General features: G+C 41.7%; 2 long non-coding RNA genes across 3 annotated transcripts in view; one reads left to right on the forward strand and one right to left on the reverse strand.

The window, feature by feature from the left end:
- MIR3681HG (MIR3681 host gene) overlaps nucleotides 1-27077 on the forward strand; it is a 571233-nt gene that overhangs the window by 161246 nt on the left and 382910 nt on the right. The gene's annotated exons all lie outside the window — the stretch shown is intronic.
- On the reverse strand, nucleotides 21282-24468 carry LOC105373432 (uncharacterized). 2 transcript variants are annotated; one of them, XR_922806.2, is made up of 3 exons: nucleotides 24293-24468; nucleotides 22584-22774; nucleotides 21282-21433 (listed from the first exon to the last, which is right to left on the reverse strand). It is a non-coding gene; the product is annotated as an uncharacterized LOC105373432 (long non-coding RNA). The 2 variants fall into 2 exon arrangements; XR_922807.2 differs by lacking the exon at nucleotides 24293-24468 and adding an exon at nucleotides 24045-24131.

Genomic DNA, 27077 nt, shown 5'->3' on the forward strand with positions numbered 1-27077 from the left:
GTGGATAGGAAAATAGAGCCAGCAGGAAATTAACGCAGTAATAGCAGCATACTGGCCCTGAGCAAAATGAGAGCACAGCTATCTTCTGAAGAGCTGAACCATGTCAATTCACCTGGTGCCTAGGGCACTTCTGACTTTGGAAATCCTGTTGACATTGATCAAGCTGAACCAGCCTAGCCTGAACATGATGACAGCCACTACTCAGCCTGTGCTCTTCTCAGCCTGGACTGGAGCTGCACGAGCTCTGCCTGACCACTTCACGTGGTCTCTGGGAAAGTCAGATCCGAAGGAAAGAAGGCCACAGGGGGCCCAGAGAGAAGAAGGTGAACTTTAGGCCCTGGCTGGATCCGATTCGGAGTTGAACAGATTAAGTTCCAAGATTAGAACCAGACTGTCCTGACTGTACAGGTGTAGGGAAGTCACCTTAAGCTTTGCATGTTAAATTGCAGTCTCTTTATCTCTAAAATGGAGATGATGATTCTGCCTTCAAGGTTTGATGTCAGGATAAGAGGAAGTAACACAGGAAAAACAACTAGCAAGGGGCCTAGTCAATGGGAGGTGCTGGAAAACATTAGTTTCCATTGCCACTGTGGAATAGTTAGAATGAGGCAATCATATAGAAAAATAATTAGACTCTTTCCTATCCTCAAAATACTCAAGTTCTCTGAAAATGCAATGTGATTATTTTTAATCAGCTGATTGGGATCCAGGATGACTTCATAGTCTTGTGAACCTAATTGAAACACATCCAGCTCTTATTGCTGTGAATTGGAGAACTGCAGGCTGCTCTGAACTCACAGTGACCCCTGTACAAATGACCATTTCATCAACTGCCTGGGGAGGAGGTTCAGAGGCATGAAAGGGAGACACGGGCAAGGACATAAGCTCATTTCCTTCTGGGGCTTGAGGAGTTCGTCAACAACATTTTAGTGATTCAGTAATGAGTTGCTGGTTCCCTAGAGGCGAAACAGGTCTCATGCTTCCCTAGGGAGGCATGAGACTACCAGAAGATAGTTTCCTATCTCGTACATCATCTCTTGATTTTACCATCTGACCTGTTCAGTTTATCTTTGTATGGTTTCCAGCTCCTAATTGCATACCCTGGCATGACCCAGCCACCTCCATTGAGCCCTTCATGGCACATGACTGTACCTTCCGGCTGTTTTCAGGCTGGTGAGAGAGACCCTTTCATATTTATCCTCTTGGTAGCACAGTCTTCTCTGCAGCTGAAGATAGAAGCCAGGGTAGTGATTCTAAGTGACACTTCAGATGTCACTCTTCAGCTACCTGAGATGAAAAATTGGGATTCCTGTTTCATACAAAAGGAGCTTGAAATTGTACCCAGGGTATGGGAAGATGCCAAGATGGTGGCAGCTACTGAATGCTGGGATCTTATAAATAAATAGAGGCTCAGAGAAGTTTCAATGACGCAGCTGGTACGTCAGGGCCAGTCAGAGAGGGACTTAGGTCGGTGTGATCTCACATCCAGTGCCTCTTTGTTCATCTCAGACCCGCTTCTGAGGCCAAACCAGGGCAGTGACAGCAGGAAGGAAGGGGAGGAGTGGTTCCAGAATTCCTTGTGGTATGAGAGGCATGACGTGCCACACAACACGTCTCCTAATGCTGGGTGACTGTGAAAAAGCCTCTAACTATTTTATTGTAAACCCCAGCAAATGCCAGGGCAACCTAATGACTTGGATTCTCCACAAAGAGAAAGCTTTTGGCACTGAGACAAAGACCTTAAATCCTCCTAAAGTTAAAATGAGCCCTAAATTTGCATTTCAGCTCCCTTCTTTGATTCTTTAGTGGTTTAACTTTGAAATGAAACACAAATTTCTTGGGGGATTTTTCTAAACTGGTTGCAAAGACCAGATGACCAGCTTCCCCGGCTCCTGTGTGTTTAGACCCTGTCATCACAGCCTGTGTGTCCGTCCCAGTCCCACTGCAGGGACTCAGGCAAAAATAGTAAGTGAGGTCAGACCTCAAAGGAAAAAAAAGCCCTTGTTATCTAAACAGAAGGAATCAAATCATCTTTTAAGTCTAAGGTTAAGAAATGCCTTACTCCTACTTGGATCTGTGTTTGTGGATGAATTACTTAATCTTTCATTCATTGGTACACGGGCTCAGAATGTCTTCTGCGAGCCGGATGCCAGGGAGGATGAGATGTGGGCCTGGACACAGCAGGTTTGCCGTGAGGCCAGTGGTGCTTGAGCTTCAGGGTACCTCACCACGCTCCTGGCCTCTTCCAAGGCAGAGGGGCCTTGGTGATGTGGCACACGGTCTTAGGATTTTGTAAAACACTTATATGTAACACTTAAACGTAAACACTCCCTCAAAAGACTTTAACTTCCATGAGACCTGAGCGCTCTCTGGTCCTTTCCCATGAGAAGCCTGGGTCTTGTGGGAGAGACATTCATTCAAACAAATGAATTCCCAAGCACATCAGAGGCACTAAGGTAGAAGTCAGGCAGGGCACAGTGGTACACAAAGGAGGGACCCCTGACCTGCTGAGAATACTGTTCCTACATCTAGAGCTTGGAGTAGGGTTCCGTCCTGTTTCCATGCCAACTGGGTGGATTGCAATTCAATGCTGATCCAACTACCTGGAGTTAGCGCAGGACTCTACATGTCAAAGGCTTAGGCCTCCACAAGACTGCCCTGACCAGATGCCAGCCACACTATGGGGGTCTCCAGGCCATTGCACTTCTATCCAACTGGTTATAAATTCAAGGGCTCCTGTATTAGTCTGTTCTCACACTGCTCTAATCTGTATTAGATTAGACATATGGAATCTAGACATACTAGACACTGGGTAGTTTATGAGGAAAAGAGGTTGAATTGACTCAAGTTCTACATGACTGGAGAGGCCTCAGGAAACTTATAATTATGGTGGAAGGGGAAGCAGGCACATCCTACATGGCGGCAGATGAAAGAGAGAGAGAGAGAGACAAGAGGTAAGAGCCCCTTATAAAACCATCAGATCTCATGAGAATGCACTCACTATCATGAGAACAGCATGGGGGAAGCTGCCCTCATAATCCAATCACCTCTCTCCCTCCACATGTGGGGATTACAGGCCCCTCCCTAGACATGTGGCGTTTACAATTAAAGATGAGATTTGGGTGGGGACACAGAGCCAAACCACATCAGTTCCCATGACCCCCTCAGGTTTGATAATTTGCTAGAACAACTCACAGAACTCAGGCAAACACTATACTTTATGATTACAGTTTTATTATAAAAGGGACACTTAGGGAAAGTTCTGGCAGTGTGTGAACTTAAGTGCAGAGCTCCTGTGCCCCCTCCTGTGGAATGGGGGTGCATTGACCTCCTGTGGAATGGCGGTGCATCGACCTCCTGTGGAATGGGGGTGTATCGGCCTCCTGTGGAATGGGGGTGCATCAACCTCCTGTGGAATGGGGGTGCATTGACCTCCTGTGGAATGGGGATACATTGACCTCCTGTGGAATGGGGGTGCATCGACCTCTGCAGCACATCCATGTGTTCCCCGGCAGAAACCCCCCTGCCCTTCCCGGTCCTCCTCATCAAGCTGTGTGTGTTTGGCAGAGCAAAGATCTGGGGTTCTTGAGCTGGAGCTCTGGCCCCTGGGTGACATCCCCTAAGCTCCTAGTAGCTACCAGTCCTGCTGGATGCCCTGCTCACATCTTGGAGTTGATTAAACTCAAGAAAATAGGTGGCTTGGAAAGAAAAACCTCAGGATTCCCCTCTCTCTGGCCACACTGAGCCTCAAAGCTGATATGGCTCTGCTGGGGTTGGTGAGGGCAAGAGACCTTTTGTGCTGTCACTTTCCTTGTCCCTTTCTAGTACTGAGAGGGGAATGTCTAGGTAGTTTCAGCTTGACGTGTGCTCATACTCTCTCTCCCTGTCTCCTTCCCACCATCCACTGGCATTGGAAAAGAGTGAGCTTTTGGTCCCCAGTTGCCATATACTCTTCCCCTCAAGCAGCAGCAAGCCCACACCTTTGCTGTCAGAGGAAGAATTGAAGAGGTGGCTTTAATAGGTGAACCTCCTTACCCAGCACCCCGTTCCCATGCCTGTGATCCTATCTTCCATGCCTGAGGCATCTGTTTTTAGTTTTTAAAATTAATGTTTTAATTTAGAGATAATTTTGATTCACATGCAATTGTAAGAACTATTACAGAGACCCTGTGGTGTACCCTTAACTCAGTTTTCCCTAGTAGTAACATCTTGGACAACTATAGGAGAATATCACAACTAAGGCATCGAGATTAATACAGGCAAAGCATAGAACATTTCCATCATCACAAAGAGCCCTTCTGTTGCCCTTTTGTAGCCACACTCATTTCTCTTCCATTCCTATCCCCTTCTTAACCCCAGTAACCATTAATTAGTCTGCCATTTCTATGAAGAGATCCACTGTAAACATAGGTGCACAGGTTTTTGTGTGAACTTAAGTCTTTATTACTGTGGGATAAATAGAGGAATCCATTCCGTAAGATGTTCTAACATCCCCTCTGGAGGATGGACACTTTGTAGAACCATGGCCAAGGTTAAGTACTTAGGAAAACAACAGGTAATACATTAAAAATTTAGATATTGCCCTCTCAGACGATTATTAAGACATGTATTTGCCCATGTTAGAAAATATGATGAAGATATTTTTCAGATTGCATATAATAAAAATACTATGTAAACATAATTATAGAAAAAATCATTTGCCATTTAGTACTACTTTCCAAGCACACATAGGCAGGAATAGATCCAAAATCCCTGGAGAGAGTGAAGCTGGTAAGTAAGAAAGATTTATTTTTCACATGTTGAGGGGAAGTCCTCACTGCTGTGCCTGGGCTGGTACCATCACACTAAGTGTCAGAGAGTGACGCCAAAGGAGATGTTTTCCTTTCAGAACTCTAATCACTAGTGAATCCCTCCCTCCCTTCCTTCCTTCTCTCTTGCTCTCTCTCTTCCTTTCTCTCTTTCTCTCTCCTTCCTTCCTTCCTTCTCTCTCTTTCTCTATAACTCTGTTGTCTATCATCTCTGTCCATCTCTATCTGTCCATCTACCTATTTATCTATCACTATCTGTTAATATATCTATCTGTCTATCATCTGTCTCTGTCACTCTATCATTCTATCTATCATCTATTTATGTATCATCTATATAATCTACCACTATCTATTATCTATCTATCTATCTATCTATCTATCTATCTATATCTATCTATCTATATCTGTCCCTCTATCTAATCTATCAATCACTCCTACTACATCTATCATCTATCTATCTATCTATCTATCACTATTTATCTATCTATCATCTATGTAATCTATCTTTTTTTTTGCAAGTTTGAAGGACTGAAGGAGCAGAGGGAGAATGCTCCAGTCACCCAGTGCCCACTAATGGCTGGGATAAGGACTACGCTGGGCAAGAACACAGGCATAAATGTGAATAGGATTTCATCCCTGTGGAAACTCCTTCCAGAGGGGAAGTGGGTCTCTCTCTGGGTCTCTAACAGCCTCATCTCAGGAGATAGTGACTGGCTTGTGTCTTTCTTCCTTTCTTGGAGTCCTAATCCCTCAAGCATTTCTGGATACTGAGATATTTCAGACCCAACACATCTAGCCCTTTCTCAGCTCCTTTAGAATTTCCTCTTTCCTTCCACTTTTTTAGAGATAATATGTGGATAGAAAGAGTACTGAAAAAGACTTAACCTTCTGGTCTCCTTACATCCTCCCTTCCTGAATTGCAGGCAGTACAAAAGTCACATTCCAAAATGATCACAGGACCAACTGCTCAGAGAAAAGTGATAGGTCAGCATTTCTGCATGGTAGCTGTCACCAAGTGCAATCTATCCTTATGGTATTTATATATTTTCGTTGAGGTATTATTGCATCTAGTAAAATACACAAATCTCTCAGGTCCAAAGCTAGATGGATTTCTTACATCAGTGTGTACGTTTGTAACAACTGTTCAGTCATGATATAGAACATTGTCATCATCCTGGATGGTCCCTCGGGCCCCTTCCTACTCTGTATTCACCCCCTCAAGGTTAGTACTGCTCTGATTTCTGTATTCTGGCTGAGTTTTATAAATTTAGGTTTAAACTATGGTTAACAATTTATAGCAGAATGCATGTGCAGCAACACATAAAAAGAGGAAACATTTTAGAGAAATATAAAAATGTTAGATTTAGTATTTGATGAAGTAAAAAAAAATTTGCAAATAGATGAGCCGCACCCACTAGGAACCCATGAGGCAACAATGACCTAGATGTACAGATAGGAGACCCTTGGTCCAAAGGTACACGGAAGGAAGACATTTTCTAAATTACCTTTTGGGTGTGCACTTGTTATTCATATAATCCCCAAACATCAGAGATGGGAGAGACTGAAGTCAGCACCTAGGTTCATCTCCTTTCTTTATAGAGCGGGAAACCAAGGCCCAGTGGAGCTACGACATTCACACAGGCCTCAGAACATGTTAATATCAGCACTGTGACATTACACTGTCCATCCTTCAACAGTAGGACATGGCTGTCTCTTCTGTTTACTTATCAAAGGATTAAAATAAAACATCAGTAAAAATTGAGAGACTTGGACTGTTATGGGCTGAATTGTTCTCCCCTAAAGTTGATACATTGAAGTCCTAATTCTGAGTACCTCAGAATGTGACTGTTTTTGGAGATGGGGCCTTTAAAGAGGTAATTAAGGGAAAATAAGGTCATGGGGTTGTGCTCATTCAATAGAACCCATGTCGTTACAAGAAGAGGAGTTTGGAATGCAGACATGAATAGAAGGAAGACCATGTGAAGACACAGCAGGAAGACGCCATCTACAAGCTAAGAAGAGAGGCCTTAGAGGAAGCCAGCCCTGCCAACACTTTGATTTCAAACTTCCAGCCTCTAGAACTGTAAGAAAAATACATTTGTGTTGTTTAAGCCACCCAGTCTGTGGTACTTTATTATAGCAACTCCAGAAAACTAATACATGGGCTGACAAAAGTAGCTGGTGTCTATTTGCTTATTCTATGTGTTCAATTATACATTTACTGAGAACCTAATATGTGCCTGTTACTCTGGGAGATGTTGCACTAAGGACTTTAAATATATTAACTCAATTAATCCTGAGCACAGACCTCTGAGGTAGGTATTGCTATACCCATTTTATAGATGAAGAAAGCAAGGCAAGACAAACTGAGAGAATTAGTCAAACTGACACACCAGCAGGTGGTAGAGTCACAGACATGTAAACGTGGGCAGTGTGGCCTGACAGAGTGAGTTGTGGGAGACAGAAGTCAGCAGGAACATGGAAGAGAATAATTCTCCCAGAAAAGGAGTGGAGATTTACGGAAGAGGAACTGAGGCTTGAAAAGTGAACAAGAGAGAATGACCGAAGGCGGTGGTAGTGGTATTTCCGTTTCAAGGCATGCAAAGAGGCGTGAAACAACATGGCAGTTTGGGAGAATTGTAAGTAGTTGTGCATTCGTTCAAAGAGAAGTGTTGAGTGAGAACACAGGGGCCAGATTACTAGGGTCTCGTATGATGAACTACTCTGGATGGAAGTGATCCTCTGGGCACTGGAAGACCCTGAAGAGGGTTAAGAAAGAGTGATCAGATTTGAATTTTATAAAGTGTTCAAGGAAGTGTGGCAGGGACTGCGGTTAGAGGCACACAGCCCATTTTCCAGGATGGCAGTGGTCTTGGCATGAGAAGGGTGAGCCAGGACTGTGGTCAGCATCTCACAGGGGATGAAGAAAAAGGAAAAAGTATCTGATGCTGAGAAAACAGAAAACGCAAGACTCAGTTTGCAGCAGATGAAGGAGAGAACAGGTCCAGAATCATTCCCGGTGTTTTGGATGACTTGACTAGGAGGCTGATGCCAGAGTTAGAGACAAAGTGGGTGCACACTCTGGGATCCTGGGTCCCATCGTGCAGAGGCTGCTGGCTCTCTGTAACCTGAGCTCAGAAGGATGGTCTGGAGGGGAGGCAGGAGAGGCATCAGTGTAGAGATGGGGACCCAAGCCAGGACAGTGAGTGAGAGCCTACAAAATGCAGAGGAAGTACAGCAGAGAGTTGGGGCAAGTTGGGGCAAAAATCTGGGTGGCCAGCAGCATACAAGAGATGTAGAGACAGTGGAGTCTGGAAGAAAAGTCTGGAAGGAATGATCTGATACACAGGAGGAAAACAAGATATGAATAGTCCCACCAAAACCAAGGGAGATGCTGTTTATAGGAAGAAGGTCTCTAACATTAGCTGCTGCAGAGACATGCCAGATGGTGAGGGCTGGACAGGTCTGGGCAGTGGCTCTATTGGAGAAAGTGAGCTGCAAACCAGGTTTCATCCTTAAAAGGAGTGTTTTGTCTTTTGTGATTGACATGATTCTCTGACTGATGTATCTAATTCATGATTTTTTTTTTCACAAATGCACATAGAGCTTTCAGTGTTACCCAGGTGAGCAATGCAGCAGGCAGGCTGCAGGCTCACATGTTGACACTCAGGTTCCACATGAGTACATGAATGTGACACAGCATTTCAGAACAACAAGAAAAAACGTGAACAAAATGAAAGAAAGAACTCCAACTGTCAATTTGATACTCAGAATTTAAAAATTCCCCAAATCTTATTAGAAATCAATAAAACTATGCCTAATTAGATGTAATGCGTCTTTCTTTTGAGAATGTAGGTTCATGGTCTCGTGGAACCAGTTCCTCCTGGTTTAAACAGAGTTATTGAAATGCAGGAAGGATGCTGGATGTCTGTGCTTCTTTTTTCTGAAAGGAACCTCTCAGTCCCTGGGTGACCCTGTGCTAATGAGTCTCCACTGGTGAGTCATCTCCCGGCCTGGACTCAGAGATGCTATCAGTTTCATTGAAGTCCCCACAGTCACCTCGGCTTCTCCAGCCTGCAACAGCTACAGGAAGGCCATTAGCTCAGCCGTGTGCCCTCCCTCCCCACACCACCCCAACTTGTCCCTCCTCTAATGTAATATTTGCAGACATGCCTGGCATTCGTTCCTAAAATGTATTATTCTACACACAAACACCCTTTGATCAGCTTGACAGGAAAACCAGAAGCATCACGTACATATTTGGTTTAGCAAAGCTGTAACGGGAACAGATGTCTCTGCAAAGACTATTTCAGAATGACCCTGAATGTGTCCTCTTTTTTTTTTTTCTGTAGAGAAATTATGGCCACATTTTTAATGATTCTTTCCAACTTGGAACTCTGCTGAGAGGTATCTCATTCATTCTCAGCCAGATTCCTGGCTCCCGGGCTGCAGTCCCGTGCAGGCTATAGGTTACTTGTTTGGAAGCATTTTCAGTGAATGAGGCCAGTCTGTGTTGTCCAGCTGGCAGGAGAGCAGCTGTGGACACATGGGGGAAATTGCACGTTTCTCCCTGTCACTAAGATGAGCCTGAGTGTCTCTCTTTCCTCAGGCAGCCAAGCAAACTTTCTGCTAGACCACACAGGCCCCAGTCACACTTACCCTGGGGCCCAAAGCAAAATTTTTCAGCTGCTGACAGGAAGAGTGTTTTTCTCTCTGGTTCTGTGAAGTCTGGAACCATGTGGCAGATGAAGTGGTTGCCTCAACTGGGTCACTGTTTGCTGGTCATGGGCTTCCACTGTGGAGCCAGCCCAGGGGAGGCCCAAATGGGAGGCAGCAGGGTGGGCTGCCCATGAGAAAAATGAACTGTTGAAAGAGCTGGACCTATTTGATTTGAACATCTGCACCATATCTTCCAGGATATTCTGTCCTGTCTACATTGTTGCCATTGACATGTCTTAGGTTGAATGACGTGATGGTGATAACAGATCATGAGATTTTCCTGTGTTATTTTTATGTTATGAGTGGTTTATTGAAGTGCAGTTAATATCCTCACTTGCTCTACCCTCCTTCTCTTGAAAGAGGTGATGATCCTATCTCTGCCCTCAAACTTTCTAGGTGAGGACTCGAGGGGTTGTGTGAAATTCTGGAGACTGTGCATTTGGTGGAAAGAGTATGGAATTTGAAACTGTGTAGTTGTGGTTTCCAAGGGTGGCTTTATCTCTTACTAGTTGTACAGACTTAGGCAAGTCACTGAAATTTACTGAGCACCAGTTTCCTCATCTGGGAAATGGAGATAACTGTCTACCTGAGAGATGAAGTATTCAACAGCTTGGCATCATGCCTGGGGCTTGGTAGATAATTCCTTCCCATCAGGCCCACCCCAGAGTTATGGGGTAGAGTCAAAGAGATGGACCCGAACTCCCTCCCTGTGTGGAGGAGCTGCTGTCCTCCAGGGGCGGTCAGTCAACAGGGACTGGCTTTCAATCCAATTCAGTCTAGCAGTGGAAGCTGGACTTGTAAGATAACAGCAATTAACATGAAGGCACCTACTATGTGCTGTGTTCAGACCTGACACACATTAACTCATTCAACGTTCACAGTAATCCTGCGAAGCAGGTCCTCTTATTATCCTTGTTTTACATGTAGAGGAACAGAATCTCAGAGCCGTAACAACTGGCTCAAGTCCACATGATCAGTAAGCAGAAGGGCTCAGCATCCAACTCAGACAGGCTGCCTCCAGAGACCAAGCTCATAACTACAATACTAACTGTCTCTGCTAAAATAATCTCTAAAACAATCTCAGACTTCAATTATCATTGCAGAATGCATTACATTCCAGGGTGATCACCTGCTACACATAACAGATCTTGACCCTTCACCCAACTGTTCAGGACATGTAGTAGGTCCTGCCCTCTGACCTCTCTTTCCAGCATGTACCCAGGGAATATATGCCTTGTTGCTGAAGCTGCAGGATGAAGGCGGTCCCACACTTCAATTTGGCTAGAAGACAGTTCTAAAAAATGAGGGAATGGCATAGCTTGGATTCACAAGTGTTTTTTTTTTTCTTCTTCTTTTTAATGCTATGCAGTTTTCCTCTCCAAATCTTGCACCAAGAGCTGTAATTATAAGATGATCATCATCATCCAAAAAAAAAAAAAAAAAAAAAAGAATAGAAGGTACTACACCTACAAACATTTAATTGTCCATGTAAATTAAGAGTTGTGAAATGACTTCAATGACTTCTACCTCTGCCTGGTGCACATTTCCCTACGTATATTTTCAAGAGAGAAGTTGAATGCCCTCCATAGAGAAATTCTCCTCTAATTTTATGAGCTAAAGGGGGAATTAGGGTGTGTTTTTCTCAGAAGCGATTTGGCTTTCTGCCTCCACCTTCTGCCAGACCCCAATTTCTGAACTTAGCCATGCCCCAGTTCTGATAGTTTGAGGAATGTGACTGTATGTGTGTGCAAATGTGTGTGTGTCTGTGTGGTTTAAAAAGTAATGATGGGATTCAATATAGAGCTCTTCTAGGTGTGGCATGGCTTTGACCTTGAATCCCACCTGGCCCTAGTGAACGGGCCTCTCCCTTGATTTGGTTATCTCATACCCTGGATTTGGTTCTGTGGCATGTCCAGTCCTAACCTCAGAGGCTTTGCTTTTTTACCCTTTAACATGTAGGAGGAAAGGAGTGTGTCACACTCTTTCAACTGAAAGATTAGTGCACTCACAGACCAAACACAGATTCACAGTCCCTTTATTCATAGTTTTAAAATCCAAAAAGCTCTGAAAACTAAAAGCTTTCTTGTAACTCATACCTGACCTGAACATATTTGGCAGGAAAACCTGATGTGAACTTCAGCTGTTTATGGTCCTTATTCCTTCTGGTTGGTATAGTATTCATATATTTTGCTGCATGAATATTAATTTATTTGATTATATGGGCTGCTCTCCCAGCCCCTGTGAGCCTGTTACATAATATATTGCATACACACCATATTACTTTTTTTAAATCTAAAAATATTCTGGATTTCATAATACATCTGGCCGCAAGTATTTTGGATAAGGGATGAAGGACCTGTGATCTCATTTAATCCTTGCCAACTGTCTTGTGAAATAGCCATTATATCCATAGTAAGATAAGAAAACTGATATTAGGAAGACTGGTTAATTTGTCCAGGGTCACAGAACGATTATGAGGAAGATTCAGGATTAAATATGTGCTTTTCAGATTTCAAAATGCATACCTTGCCCACCCTCTACATGGTTGGTCTTCCTAGCTTTTTTAGGCAGGTAAGCCCTGGGCGTGAATAAGAAGGCAAGATGGAAACAGGACCATGAGCAAGAACATGGGCCTGCCTTAGAACCTTGCTGCTCAGAGAGGGGTCCATGGACCAACAGAGTTGTCTGAGAGCATTTTGTTAAAAACACAGAATCTTGGGGCACATTCAGGACCTACTGAAACAGAATGTGCATTTTATCCAACATCCCCCGCTTCCAGGATTTCATTTGCACATTCAAATGTGAGGAGTCTTTGGCTAGATGTTTGGAGGAAGAAGAGAACCCATGCATGTTATTCTAAAAAGGGCTCCAAATGCCAGAGTTGTCATCTTTTGTCAGGATCATGCTAGAGGGCAGAGACTCTGCTGGAAGCAAATTTGGAGGGAGTGGAAGGTAATGGTTCCCAGTCCAGCAATGGTTACCAAAGAGAGCTATGTGCCCATGAAGAGAACATCATTGTACATTCGATCTGAGAGAATAACCCATTGCCTCAACTACTGATTTCCCAAACTAGTGTTATTTTTCTGTTTATCAAAGCACATCCTATAAATGTACATTTATCTTTGGGAAAACTCTGGTAACTGTCCTACTAAAAAATGTATCAAATCAATCAAAATCATAGTGATTAATTATGCGTTCATTAATGGTATGGCCCCAGAGTAGGGTTTCTCCAGTTTCACCATTGGCATTATGGACTGGATAAGTCTTGATTGTGGGGGCTGTCCTGTGTAACGTGGGATGTTTAGCAGCATCGGTAGCCTCTACCTTCTAAATGCCAGTAGCAACCCCCACTCCCAGCCATGAAAATAAGAAATGTTTCCAGCCATTGCCAAATGTCACTGGAGAGGAGGAGGGGGTTGGAGGAAGGAGGATATCACTCTCAGTTGAGAACCACTGCTCTAGAACTTTTTTGAATTCACTCTTTTCTACCTGGTAGTTCCTAAAGCTCAAGACGTGACTTCCTGATCATCGTCCAAGTAATCAACACTTAGCTGTTATTAAGCGGGATTCTTCAGACAGAAGGTTTTTGCATGAATGGACAATAGACAATACACAATACACATATCTGGTATGGTGATTGGATTGAGGACAGTGCCTTTGAGAAGAATCCTTGTCACGTGGATATCAATTCTCTTAGCCAACTGTATTCGGGAGTTGTTTATGAGCTGTGAAACTCAATCTGCTTGCTTTGGAGTTCTTGCCTATTTGGATGTGCAGAGTTATTTTTTAATGATAAATTTTACGTTTGTTGAAATGTATGAGGCATGAAGCTGGGGCTGAAAGTCAGGCTCCTGGAATACAACTCCCAATGAAAAGCAGGAGGCAAGGCTGCCCACACTTTACAGGATGCAGAGGAGGCAGCCTGAACATCCAGTGATGGGACACAGCTGAAGCATGTGGGTTCTGTCTTCTGCCTGGGCACAGTGATTCTGGCTAATAAAGATTGTGCATGGTTGGCAGCTCTTAAATGTCTACTGGTAAAGTCCCTGGGAAAATATGTTCTTTATTTCCCTTCAGAGACTATAAAATGAAAAGGGCAAGATTCTAAAGAACCCCCAAAGCTATTATTTCTGGGGGGAAACATTTTCCTGCCACTTCGACAGTTCCTGTAAAACCAATAGTACTAGCTAGAGGTGGCATGAAGAGGAACAGTAGCGGGGCTAAGACATTAGCAGCAGATCATCAATTTACACATTGAGGGCATCAGCAACAATGGTGGAAAAGAAATCTCTAAGACAAATCCATTAGGAATCACTGTGCCTATAGAGACCCTATAATCACACTGGATGGGATCATCAACTCAAATGCAATTCTGATTGTTCTCTGCAAAATGAGTGTCTCACTCTTCCAGATTCCTACTTAAATCAGGGCAGGTTAACTTGGGTGACATATGCAAGGACATGTAACCAGTACCCTGACCTTCCTTCTTAAGGAGGAAAGAAAACGCCATTGCTTCTCCCATGGAACTCAGTCTAAGGAGCTCATATGCTGTATAACTGTGATCCAAGTGATGCCAAGCACATAGCTCATGTATAACCAGTTAGCTGTGTGGATGCTACAGTACTGATCAGAAGTTTGGGGGATGCTGTGATGCTCCTATCAGCTCATCCCTTCTCTTTCTTCTCTTTACTGTCTGCTTAGTTGCATATTACTTTGCACTGTGTGGATTTGCTTCCCTCTTGCCCCGATCACTAGGCAGAGTTATACCGTTTGTGTTTCCTTCATCCTGGGTTCTCTATTTCTCTTTAGGTTGAACTTGCCTTTCATAGCCACTCCTTCCACTGCCACCCAGAGAAGGTCTCAGGCTGCCCAGCCTGGTCCAGGGCATTGCTACTCAGAGCGTGGTTGATGGGTCTGCTTGTTACAGAAATTAATACAGAAATTAAGAATAAGCTGTTTGAAACTTTTAATAGCAAACTGACAGAGCAATTTTATAATCTAATACTAATATTAATCTAATATATTAATATAAATCTAATATAATAATACAAATCTGACTGTCGTATTTCATTTCATTTATTTATCTTTCTTTTGGTAATTCATTTGCAATATATTTTTCAAATTTTGGTCTTCTAAGGATTAAGGACAAACAAACTTGCTCTCTCTACATGTGGTTTGAGAAGCATGGGTCTGGGGACCCCATCTAGTTGCCAGACCAAAATGACTTCATCCTTCGTCCCGCATCTTATCTCTCTAGTCATTTCCTAGGACCTTGGCCACAGAATGACTGAAGCCACTGTTCAGAGGGGCTAGCCTCACCAATCCCTCATAGTAAATGCAGTATGTTTTAGATTGGTGCTGCTCAGGTTCTGTAATGAGGCTGAGCTTATTACCCTTGTGGTGAAAGATGAAGGGAACCATCTTCTTAGAATAGGAAGGGAAGAGAGTTCATTCTTTTTGATCTGCTTTATTGCTATCCATTCCCACCAGCAGAAGAGCTGCTGAACCAATCCTGCACTTTTGCAAGGAGGAACCGTCATAGATATTTATCCATTTCCTAGTCTTTGCTCACCATGGGGAAGTTACAGCTGCACTTAATGAGGTACCTCACAGACCAGCAGATCTCATGGAATGGAAATGGCAAAAAGAATATAAATATGCAAATGTGAACACTCTGAATTGTCAGATTACACATCAAAATGAGGATTTTGTGTAAATGTTGAAGTTTTTGTGAAAAATAAACACAAGGAAAAATTGATAATATGAAAAATAAACATATTCAAAACTTTTTAATAGAATTTTCAGTATAACACCTATCAAGATACTTTGGGAGGCTGAGAGGGGAGGATTGCTTGATGCCAGGAATTCAAGACCAGTCTGGACAACATAGCAAGACCTCATCTCTACAAAAAATTTAAAAATTAGCTGGGCATGGGGGCACAGCTGTGGTCTGAGCTACTTTGGAGGCTGAGGTGGGAGGATCACTTGAGCCCAGGAATTTGAGGTTACAGTGAGCTGTGATTGTGTCACTGCACTCCAGCTTGTGCAACAGAGTGACACTCCTAAAAAAAAAAAAAGATACTTTTTGAAGGAACTCCCTAGGAAGATCCTGTCTGGGTGGAATAAGAGAAACAGCAGGGGTTTAGAAGTGACTGCTTGACACTCCCTGTCCAGGTGAACATGGAAAAGTCACATTATTTATGTCTCTATTTACTCATCTGTGAAATGGGGATTCTAATGCTCTCTACTTCATGGTTGATGCGAGGATTAAATAAGTTAATACAAATATGTAAATCACTTAAAACAGTGCTCATACTTAAGGCGGGCATGTTAATTACATGCTGAGCTTCAATTATCCGATCTGTAAAGTGAAGAAAATGAGACTCTTGAACTCAAGGGTTATCCTTGAAGAACACCTGATACAGTCCAGCTACAGTTTTCATTTCTCCAAATAATTCTGAAGGGTCTCGGGGTGCTGTGGATTTGCCTGATTTCTCTATGATTCGCTCCTCAGGTTCAGCCGGCAAGTGCAATCAAATTGCTTTCATCTTTCCAAAGTGATTTAAAACCAATGGAGGTTCCTAATAAGCCCATTCATTCCATCATTTATTCAACGGGTACTTCGAAGGCTTACCCTGTGCCAGCCACTGTTCTAGATGCCTGAGATTTATTAGTGAGCAAACAAAGATTCCTACCTCCAGGGAGCATGCATTCTGGGGGAAGGGGGTGATCAGATCAGAAATGGAACCCAATTTATAATTACATTTTTTAGCATGTTAGAAAGTGGTAAGCTCTGTGTTAAAAAGAAAGGGTAGACCTGGGTAAGAGGGTAGGAATGAAATGCAGAGGGTAGGGGAATGAGGCAGTTGCTGCAGGTATTTAATAGGGTCCTCAGGGTGGGCCATGTGTGGAAGGTGTGATGGAAACGAACTCTTGAAGGAGGTGGGGAATTAGCAAGTGCAGTCTTGTGGAAAGCACTCCCAACAGGAGAAACAGCAGAGCAAAGGCCTTGAGGCGGAAGCACATCTGTTGTGTTCAAGGGACAGTGAGGAGACCAATTTGACTGCAGTGGAGTGGGTGGCTGAGGTGAATTATCTAAAACCCAACACCAGGCTCTCTAGCGCTCTTCCTCCCCTGGATTCTCCATAAACTCTGGGGCTCCTGGAGTCCTGATGAAACTTCTCCCACAGGCAGCAACCTGTTGTGTGACATTTTGGTGAGGCCCTTCCTGCCCTCTGCAATTTAATGATCCTGTGCTGTTCTAGAGCTGTGCAGATAAAGCCGCTGGTTCAGGCAACATCAATGGCTGTCTCACTGTCTCCTGTTGAAGCTGGAAAATTCCTGTTACTCTAAGTCTAGCTTGGCCTCTCAAGTAGCCTCTTCACAAAGAGCCAGACAGGATGTAGACTCCTGTCCTTGCAGAATCCAGAGCCATACTGCTTTCTCTAGTCTTGGGGGTACACACCCTTGTTGGCAAGCTTTTCTTTGCCATCCTTGAAAGATGAAGGATCCTGCACCTCCATTTCTCAGACAAGCTCCACTGCTTCCATGAGCCTAGGCCAGGAGTTCCAGATTGATAGCTGGTGTTACTTGCCAAGATATTTTGTTTGTGAGGCAGAATATTACTGAAAATAAGAAAAGGTTGGCTGAAGATATAAAATTTCAGTTAGACTGGAGGAATAAGATCAGGAGATCTATTGTACCACATGGTGACTACAGTTAATAACTATGTATTGCATGCTAGAAACTTGCTAAGAGAGTAGATTTTAAGTGTTCTTACTACAAAAAAATAAGTATTTGAGGTAATGAATATGTTAATTAGCTTCCTTTAGCTATTTCAGAATGTATACATATTTCCAAACATCATGTTGTACATAATAAATATATACTTTTTTTTTGTCAATTGAAAAAATACATTTAAAACATCTTTTTGGAAAAGGATTTGATGGTGGTTGACGGGCAAGCACTCCTCCTCCTGGGGCAGGCAGGCCTGCGAGGCACTATTCTTGGCTATGGACAGTTGCAGGTCCGGAATCATGAGAGGCTGCCCACTTTCCCATGGGGGCTGGGGTGCGATATCTCACAGATTGTTCAACTCTCCCTGGAGGCTCTCACTCATGTCTTCTACCGAAATAAAATACAATGATTAAATGAAATAAAACACAAGATACACGGCTGGTGGATGGCCCTGTCTTATTTTAAATTATGGCCTTTTTCTCTGTAGAAGAGGGCTGTGGATCATGAGGATCCCACGGAAGTCTCCTCCTGCAGCACCACCATTTTACGGTTGGGGACTTTGAAACACAGAGAGATCAGCTGGCTTGCCCATGGTCCCTCAGTTGGTGGCCAAGCTGGGACCAGAGTCAAAGCCTCCTGCCTTCCAGCCCAGAACTCATTTCAGAATATTGCAACTCCAAGACTCACTTTTTACCTCAAGAATTTTACTGCTAATTTGTTTTTCTTCTTATCCCATTAGCAGATGTAGTTTTTCCCCTCCAGTTTTCCTGTCAACTCAAGGCCAAATAGTTCCTTCCACATTCAAAATAAGTCACATATTTGCTACTATATATGAGGTCCTGTGCAAGAGCTTGGGGAACATTAAGGGTGAATAAGAGAGAAATCTAAATTCTCAAGACATACACATTTTAGTGGGAGAGACATGAATAATACACATAAACATACAGCAACGTGCTGGGGAGAATGCTAGGAAATGTTCAGTTTGTAAGTTCAAGGATAGGAAAATTTTGCTAAAAGAGAAGGGAGAGAGAAAAGTGAGCTGGTAGCAGGCCAAGCCAGGTTTTCATCTAACAGATCCACTTATGACTAAAAAGCTCTGTTTGGAGGCTCCTCTTGTCATTAGAAATTATCAACACTCTTGGTTTCCATGTTGGTGGGAAAAGCTGTGGCTGTCACAGAAATAGGGTGTGGATATTTTAAAACAACAGCTTGAAAAAAGTGTCTCTGTTTTCCATGCAATCACCATTTTGGGCTCTGAACAGGAGCCCCACATTGCCTGTAAGTTCATCTTTCTCCTTGAAGTTACTCTTCATAAATTTTCTGAAAGCCTCCTCTTTTGAATATATGAGGTGTCTATCAAGGCAGCACAGACAGGACCACTTGAATTTGCAACATAGAACAGAACAAACAAAAAGTTCTGTTTCAGATTAACTAGAAAATTTATTCAATGGAATATTTATGCTTTACATAAAATGTAATATTCTAACACACATGGTCCTACATTGTAAAATAAATATAATTTTTCCAGGCTGAATTAAATAGGATTTCCTCTGTGTTCTCACAGTATCTGTGCATGCCTCTATTACTCAGTGATAATTTGCCCAGGGTTTATTTAGCAGCTACTATGGTAATAGGTAGTGTAGTAGACATTGAGGTATAGAGACTTAATGAGAAATTGACATGGTATTCTCATTATTACTGAATATAAAATTGTAACCATAATTATAAGGTGCTGTGGGAAGTGTAATAAACCCTAAAAATATAAGTGGCTCAACACAATAGAAGTTCATTTTTAACGCCCATGAAGTCTAAAATGTGTTTCTAATTAGTAGGAGATTCTCCTTTCATTAGTAATTCAGAGATCCAGTTTTTTTCCCATCTAGTGACTCCATTATCTTCAATATCTGGCTTCCAAGTTTATCTGGAGTGTCAAGAAATGGACAGTAGAGAGGAGAGAGTGCATCTTCCTCAGAATTCCCTTGGCTTAGAAGTAGCCACTCGTCTCTGTTCATAATCCATTGATTACTTTTAGCTACTAGAGAAGCTGGGGAATCAAATCCCTGGCTAGGCTTTGATTGTTGTTGGCCTTCCAACAACAGCTGTATGCTATGCAAAGGGAGCAAGAGTCTTTGATGGCCAGCTACCGCCCATGCTGCTGTCTTGAGTTTGGTTTGTGTAGAAGTTGTGGCGTCCAGCTTCCTGTGTGGCTGGGGGATAGCCCCATAACTAAGTTCTGGCCAGTGGGAGAAATGTGGAAGTGTTGAGGAGCCACCTTCAAGAAATACCTTAATATCAGCTATGGCTCCGTTGTCCCTTTCTTCTTGATCACTCTCTACTCTGTGGCTGGAGCCACAGCCGCCATCTTGGATGCTGTGAGGTTGAGGACCACATCCAGGATGGTAGTGGTAGACGGGAATGTTCAAAAATGCCTGAGGCTGTGAAAGTGTTTGGAGCAGAGCAAATGACCTGGACTACCCCTCTCAGATTTTATGCGAGGAAGAAATAAATTTCAATCTTTTTACAACATGTGTGACTGTGGGATTTATTAATTCCAACTGAACCTAATCTTAAGTGATTTAGAGGGTAATGCTTGTAAAAGGCTTGGAATTGTATTGCGCTTGGAGTTACATGGGGAGTTCTGAGTGTTGAGAATCTGATGTTGCTGTGATGTAAGGCACGTGGCCTAGGGCAGGGGAAGGCAGACATTTTCCATAAAGGGCCAGCTAGTGAATATTTTAGACCTTGCAGGCCATATGATCTCTGTAGCAATTATTCACCTCTGCTATTGTACTGTGAAAGCAGCCATAGAAAATGGTGTAATGGAATGGGGTAGCTGTGTTCCAATAAAACTTTATTTTTAAAAATAGATGGAGAGCCAGATTTGGTCTTAGAGAATAATCACATTGAGCCCCTCAATACCTTGTGTGATGTTTTTTTTCTAGCTATACATACAGGTATGTGACATGGTGTCAGGAAGACAGTATAGGTTCGATGGCATCTGTGTCTGGTCAGATGTGTGGGCTAACCCAACCCTCCAGCTGTGCTTACTTCCACCTACTCTGGGTGCTGAGGGGATAATCATCTAATTTCCTCCTACTGACAGATTCCAATTTTGACCTTTAATAGGAGCTTTCAGTTTTTTAAGCAAAAGAAGAGACTAGTAGTGGAATGTTTCTAGAAGCTTGAAGTCAATAAAAGTGGGAAGTTTTTGGCCGGGCACGGTGGCTCAGAGCTGTACTCCCAGCACTTTGGGAGGCTGAGGTGGGTGGATTACTTGAGTCCAGGAGTTCGAGACCAGCCTGGCCAACATGGAAAAATCCTATCTCTACCAAAAAAAAAAAAATACAAAAATTATCCAGGCGTCGTCGCACATGCCTGTAGTCCCAGCTACTCTGGAAGCTGAGGTGGGAGGATGGCTTGAGCCTGGGAGGTGGAGGCTGCAGTGAGCTGAGATTGTGCCACTGTGCTCCAGCCTGCGTGGCAGAGCCAGACCCTGTGGGAAGTTTTTGTCATTAGGTAGCTGAGCTTTTTGGAATTTCTCTCTACTTATAGACCTGAATCTTATTTGAGAGATCTCTCTATCTTCTCTAACAGAGCATTAGTATATCAAAAAAGAAAATGTTGCAGTATTTGGGGGTATGCATTCATGATGAAAAGTGCTTTGAAATAAGGGTAGAAGCTCTTATTTGGTTTTTTACTTTGCTGGGGCAAAGTGGCAGGGAAAACCAGTTATTCCTTCTAAGCCTTAACATATTCATCTTTAAAACGGTGACAATGCTATCAATTTGAGAACTGTGCTGTGAGAATTAAAGTAAATTTAATCAAGACTACAAAGTGTCTATGTAATAAACAGGGGCTAAATATGCACTTGTGGCTCAATGGGTATTGCAAAGAAATTACATGAGTTTATTCCTCAACACCAAATCAGAAACGATAAATGATTTGGCCCATCTGTTTCACTCAAACTAGTGAGAGGCATTTATTTAACAAACATTTATTAAATTCTTCCCATCTGCCGGATGGTATAATATAGATATGAGTTGATTCCTAAGGTGGGGAATCTGATACAATTGGTGGCATCTCACAGGACTCTTTGTACGAGCTGTAGGAAGATGTTTGTATGAGCTTGTAGATCTTCAGGTCATGGCCAATTGCTCTGGAGTAAATGTCTAAGAAAACACAGAAGAAAGACATTCTAAAAGGTGAAGAGGGAAAATTGACCTTTGAAAATACATTAGGTTTTATGCAGGAAAGAATTCAAATCATTGATCCGTGGTCAGGAACCACACAGACAGGAAGCAACAATGTCAGGAATTAAAATGCTTAAACAAAATTGTGTCTAAGTAGATCAAAATGGAGTGTTTCTCAAATGGATCTAGAATGCCTTATATTGGGATTTGAACAAACATTTGGAGAACTGGAAAGGGTAGACTCTGCAGATGTTTTCCGCAGACTCAGTATACTTTAAAGAGCTGAGCAAACCCTAAAATTCAGGAAATGCTCAGATAAATAGGAAAATTGTTAAGTGGAGAAAAATCTGTTTGCTTTCCTGACACCCTCTCTCGTCTAAATCAGTGATGAACATTCATCTAACCCACGCATATAGGTCATAGAAACTTATACTGCTTAGAACTCTGAGAAGGTCTGGAATCAGAGAACTGTTAACTAAGCTTTTATCATTAATTGTTATGCTTCTTTTTTTTCCTTCTAAGCTTTTATTGAGAAAATTTCCCCACAGCTATAATTACGCTGAACAATGACAGAATTTATTTAATGAAGCAGAGAGCAGAAACTTTTTGAGACAGCAAAATTTGCAACCAATTAAATATTAATGAAATATAGTCTGTCTCAGAATCCTTTTTTCACATTTGTCTTATCTCATACTTGCATTTAATCTACAGAAAGTTCAATCATTATTTATATTAGAATTAGTGAAATAAAAATGTATGAATAATTTCATGATTTTCCCAAGAGCAATTTTTCTGTACCAATTAAGAATATGAATGGAAAAGAGGTTTAAAATCACTGTGAAGAACCGTACATTTCTAGATATTAAAATTGATGCTATAAAATTGTCACCACAATGAAGACAACCTTTATTCCTTGCTTTTTCCAGTTGTTGATTTCTATGAAAAGTTTTTATCTGTTAGTTGTAGAATAGATACATTTTGTTATCCATTTTATGCGTAACATCTCAATCGAGTCATATTTCATAAATTGACCAGGTAGTTTATTACATAGAGTATGTTACGTTAGGGTGCAAATTCCCCCTTTATTTTAGTTCTACAAATACCATACATAAAACCCAAACTTTCTTACCTTAGGGTGATTTGAAGAATTTTAAGTAACGAAAAGTACACAATGAACAATTATCAGTAGACTATGCATAGTAACTAAGAATTGATGACAAAAGGGTGTATCAAACCATCAGATGCACAGGTTTCCTGGATTCCATGTGGATACCAAGGCGGGAATTTTATCTTGTCTTCCGTAAGTTCATAGAAGAATGTCTGGCATAAAACAAATTGAAAAAGTGTTAATTGATGACAGGACTATTTCCTATAACTCTGGGGTTTTAAAAGGGGCCCTCTGCCAAATCACTCTTCCAATGTTGCTAATTTCCATATTGAATCTCTGTGTATCATTGTATGGTTATTTTTGTTATACTTGGATTTGTCCACTGGAAATATTCATCCTTAATTGTGGCAAGCAATATTCCAATCTGACCATTAGCAACACACTAGAAAAGTAGTTGAAGCCACACTAGCCACTTACCACTGACAAAATAAATACAACTAAGCAATAATGGCTGAGAAACAAAGACAACTGGAATCATGTTCAACCAGCCTGAACACTGAAGGACAGCAATGGAACCTGGAGCTTCAAGAATTTCTGAGATAGTTTCAAAAAGGGAAAAGGCAAGATTTGTTCATTTTGTCTCATTAGATACAAATGGACATAACTATTCAATTACCATCACAATGCCGTTGTGTACAGTACGGTACAATAGGGGACTTGGTTTTGAACTTTAAAAATATTGTCCTCTTTCATTGTGTTCCTGGTGTTAACCTCTTACTGTTTCCCTTGCTCACTATATTGAAGTAATATAATTTCTAATAGAATCTAAGCCTAGAATTTGATATGGGACAAATCAGATGAATTTCTGGATTTATACCTTCATCAGTTTTGCTCATTTTGTCTTTCCATCTTTTTCTAAAGCTATTTACACACAATTTCCTTAAAAATTCTTCAAGTTCCTCTCTGCTAACCAATTCTTCTAATATCTGCTTCAAAACTCGCTTTTTGAAATACTTCATTCCAATTTAATTTAAGGAATTGATTGAGTGTGTGCCCACTATGTGCCAGGCATTTTGCTGGGCACTGAGGTTAGAGTATGAAACAAAGCAGCTGTGATCTCTGCTTTCATGGAGTTAGAAAACTTTCTTGTAAGACCTGGGATCAAGTTCAGAACAGTCACTTACCTACATAGCAAGATTATTACCAGGATCAAATGAGTTTTGAAACAAAACAGCAAAAAGCATTAATAAAATGAGTAGGAATAAAAACTTATTTCCTTAACACAGTAAAGATTCAAATCCATAGGAGAATATTCTGAACAACTTTATCCCAATGAATTTGAAAACTTAAATAAAACTGATAATTTCCTGGAACAAAAGCATACATTTATTTTTAAAAGAGAAGAAAACTGAGTAAACTCATAACTGTTAATTAAATTGGGTAATCAAATTAGGTTACCGTAATTACATAATCAAAGTTTACCTTAGCAAGTGCTACCAGGCTTCCCTGGTTTTCAGGTGAATTTTATGAAACCTTCAGGGAACAGGTGACTCCCATGCCAAACCAACTGATTTGAGAGTAGCAAAACAGAAGTTCTCTAACTTATTTTATGAGCCAATGAAATTTCAGCACCAAAACAAGAACAGAAAATTGTGATCAACTACTCATATTAAAAATCCTCAATACTATGTTAACAAATACAATCTATTAATGTACACTACCGCATTCACCTTCTTGTCTTTGAGCTGCTGTTGTTTCCTTATCTGACTGTGGACAAAATACATACTTTACATGATTGTCATAAAAATCACACAAAATACTGTCAGTGAAAGTACTTAAAAATCTACAAGTTGTTACTGCCTTTTAATTACTGAGCTTGCTTGGTTGGGTAAGAGAGACAAAGCACAGTGAAAAACAAAATCCAGACTGATTTAAAGCAAGGCAAAACAAAAACTGGTAGAAAACAGGAAATGATGTCAGGCATCAAACCTTGGCTTCCTTTCCATGTTTAGAGCCATTTCCCATAAGAGAATATATATAACCGAGTGACTGGCAAACCGCAGGAAAGCTTCCATTTCCTTCCCGTCCCCGCTTAACTCCACTTAGTGCTCAGCAGTGGTTCCTCTGAGGCACTGCAAGGACTCATTAGTCCCCATACAGGGGATTTGCCCTGAGGTTCGTGGTTATTATCCTTGAAGTTGAAGAGGGCATGGGAGATGTTACTGTGTTTCCTTAGAGCAGGTTTCTGCAGTTAGGCATCACCTCCACTCAACGCTCCAGCCTCTCAGAGCACAGTGACAGTTCTGCCAGCAAGAATGCAAAGAGCAACCCACGGCAAGTAGGCCCTTTGGGCTCTGCAGGAATTCTGACCCAGCTTAAAGGGACAGTAATCACATTTATGTTACCAACTGCCCCCTGCCCTCCTCCTGAGTAAATCATTAATATATGTCTCCATTTTTGTTCAACCAGAAGAGGGATTACAAGGTTCTGGCACAAACTAATGTCTATCTTGATAACCAGAGTCTTTTTGTTTTTGTGAGAACACTTAACATGAGATTTACTCTCTTAACACATTTTTAAGTGTACAATATAGTACTGTTAACTATAGGCGCAATATTAATAGCGGATCTCTAGAACTTAGTCATGTCGTATAAATGAAACTTTACATCCATTGAACAGCACCTCCCCATTTCCTCCCAAATCCCTACCAACCACCATGCTACTCTCGGCTTCTATGAGTTTGACTGTTTTGGATGCCTCATATCTGTCGAATTTATATGGTATTTGCCTTTCTGTGACTGGTTTATTTTACTTGGCATAATGTCTTCCAGGTTCATCCATGTTGTTGCATATGACAAGATTCCCTTCTTTTTCAAAGCTGAATAATATCCCATTGTATGTATAGATTACATTTTCATTATTCATTATCCAATGTTGGACATCACTAATCATCAGAGAAATGCAAATCAAAATCATGAGATATCATCTCACACCTGTTAGGGTGACTATTCTAAAAAAAACAAAAGATGGTGCTATGGTTTAAATGTGTCCCTCAAAGGTCATGTGTTGAAAACGTGATACCTATTGTGAAGGTGTTGGGAGATGGGGCCTTTAAGAGATGTTGAATGCCATTATCAGAGAGTGGGTTCCTTATAAAAGGATGAGCTCAGGCCCCTCTTTCTCTTGCTATCACCACTTCTTTGCCCTTCCACCATAAGATGATGCAGAAAGAAGGCCCTCACAAGAGGCTGGCACCTGATCTTGGACTTTCCAGCCTCCAGAACTGTGAGACACAAATTTCTGTTCTTTATAAATTACTCAGCCTGAGATATTCTGTTATAGGAGCACAAAACAGACTAGGACAGTTGGCAAGGATATGGAGAAATTGGAAAACTTGTTCACTGTTGGTGGAAATGTAAAATGGTTGAGCCATTATGGAAAGCAGTATAGAGGTTCTTTAAAAATAAAAATAGAATTATCATATATTCCAGAAATCCCACTTCTGGGTATATAGCTAATAGACATAAAATCAGGATCTTAAAGAAATATTTGTTTGATATCTGCACTCTTACGTTCACTGCAACATTATGTATAATAGGCAAAATATGGCCACCTTTGAATTAGTGCTGAAAGCTCACTTTAATCTTTTCTTCCAGATCTGGGGTATTTCAATTCAAGTCTCAAGAACAGGGATCTGCTTTTCCTGTATCTGACTGTGCCTTTAACTGGCTGTACAACCTTGGAAATCGTCCTTTCTATGCTGCAATTTCTTCAGTGAGGAAATAAGTATAGTCATAGCTAGGTGATCATTGGCATCTTGACCCATAAATATATCTTCTCCAACATCATGCAGGCTGGAGTCATCACAGGTACCTGAGAACCGTGCTGCTACCTTGGCTAGGGACAGGTATTCAAGGATGTGTGCAATCTTCTATTCCAGAGCAAGGTAGCTAGTTCCATTGCCACTTACTGCTTTGTGGTGTTCCTAAGTGGGGTTGAAGCAACTTTTATACAGAACATGTTTTGATTCCACTGACTTTAACAAAGGGGATTTCCCAGATGGAGCAGGGTTGAATTGTTTGGTGGACCCAGTTTCCATGCCACAACATACACTCACCCATGATCTCCTTCACAAGAAAATAGGAATGCATCATTGTTCTTTTGCACTCAAAAGCATTTGCAATTGGCACTCCTGTCTGTCACAGTGACATGGATTGACCTACCCTCTGCAATCTATATGACTCCTAGGAACCATGGGACAGAAATTACAGTCGTTGAGAGGTCTCATGACATTCAGCTAGCCCATTCATCAAGGTCTCCACTTGCTTGCAAATTACACCCTGTTGCTCTCATCAAATGAGTCAGTGAGTTGAGGACATGCACAGTTTTTGCTTTAAAATACAAATTGAAAATGGCAGGAGGGATCTTGTCAGACAAGACATTAATGAAAAATTTGAAATATTCTGTAAAATCGAATGTTGTACCGTTTCATTAAAATTTAGTGAACTAATTCCA

This window comes from Homo sapiens, chromosome 2 (genome assembly GCF_000001405.40).
Source record: "Homo sapiens chromosome 2, GRCh38.p14 Primary Assembly".
In the NCBI taxonomy this organism is placed as follows: Eukaryota; Metazoa; Chordata; class Mammalia; order Primates; family Hominidae; genus Homo; species Homo sapiens.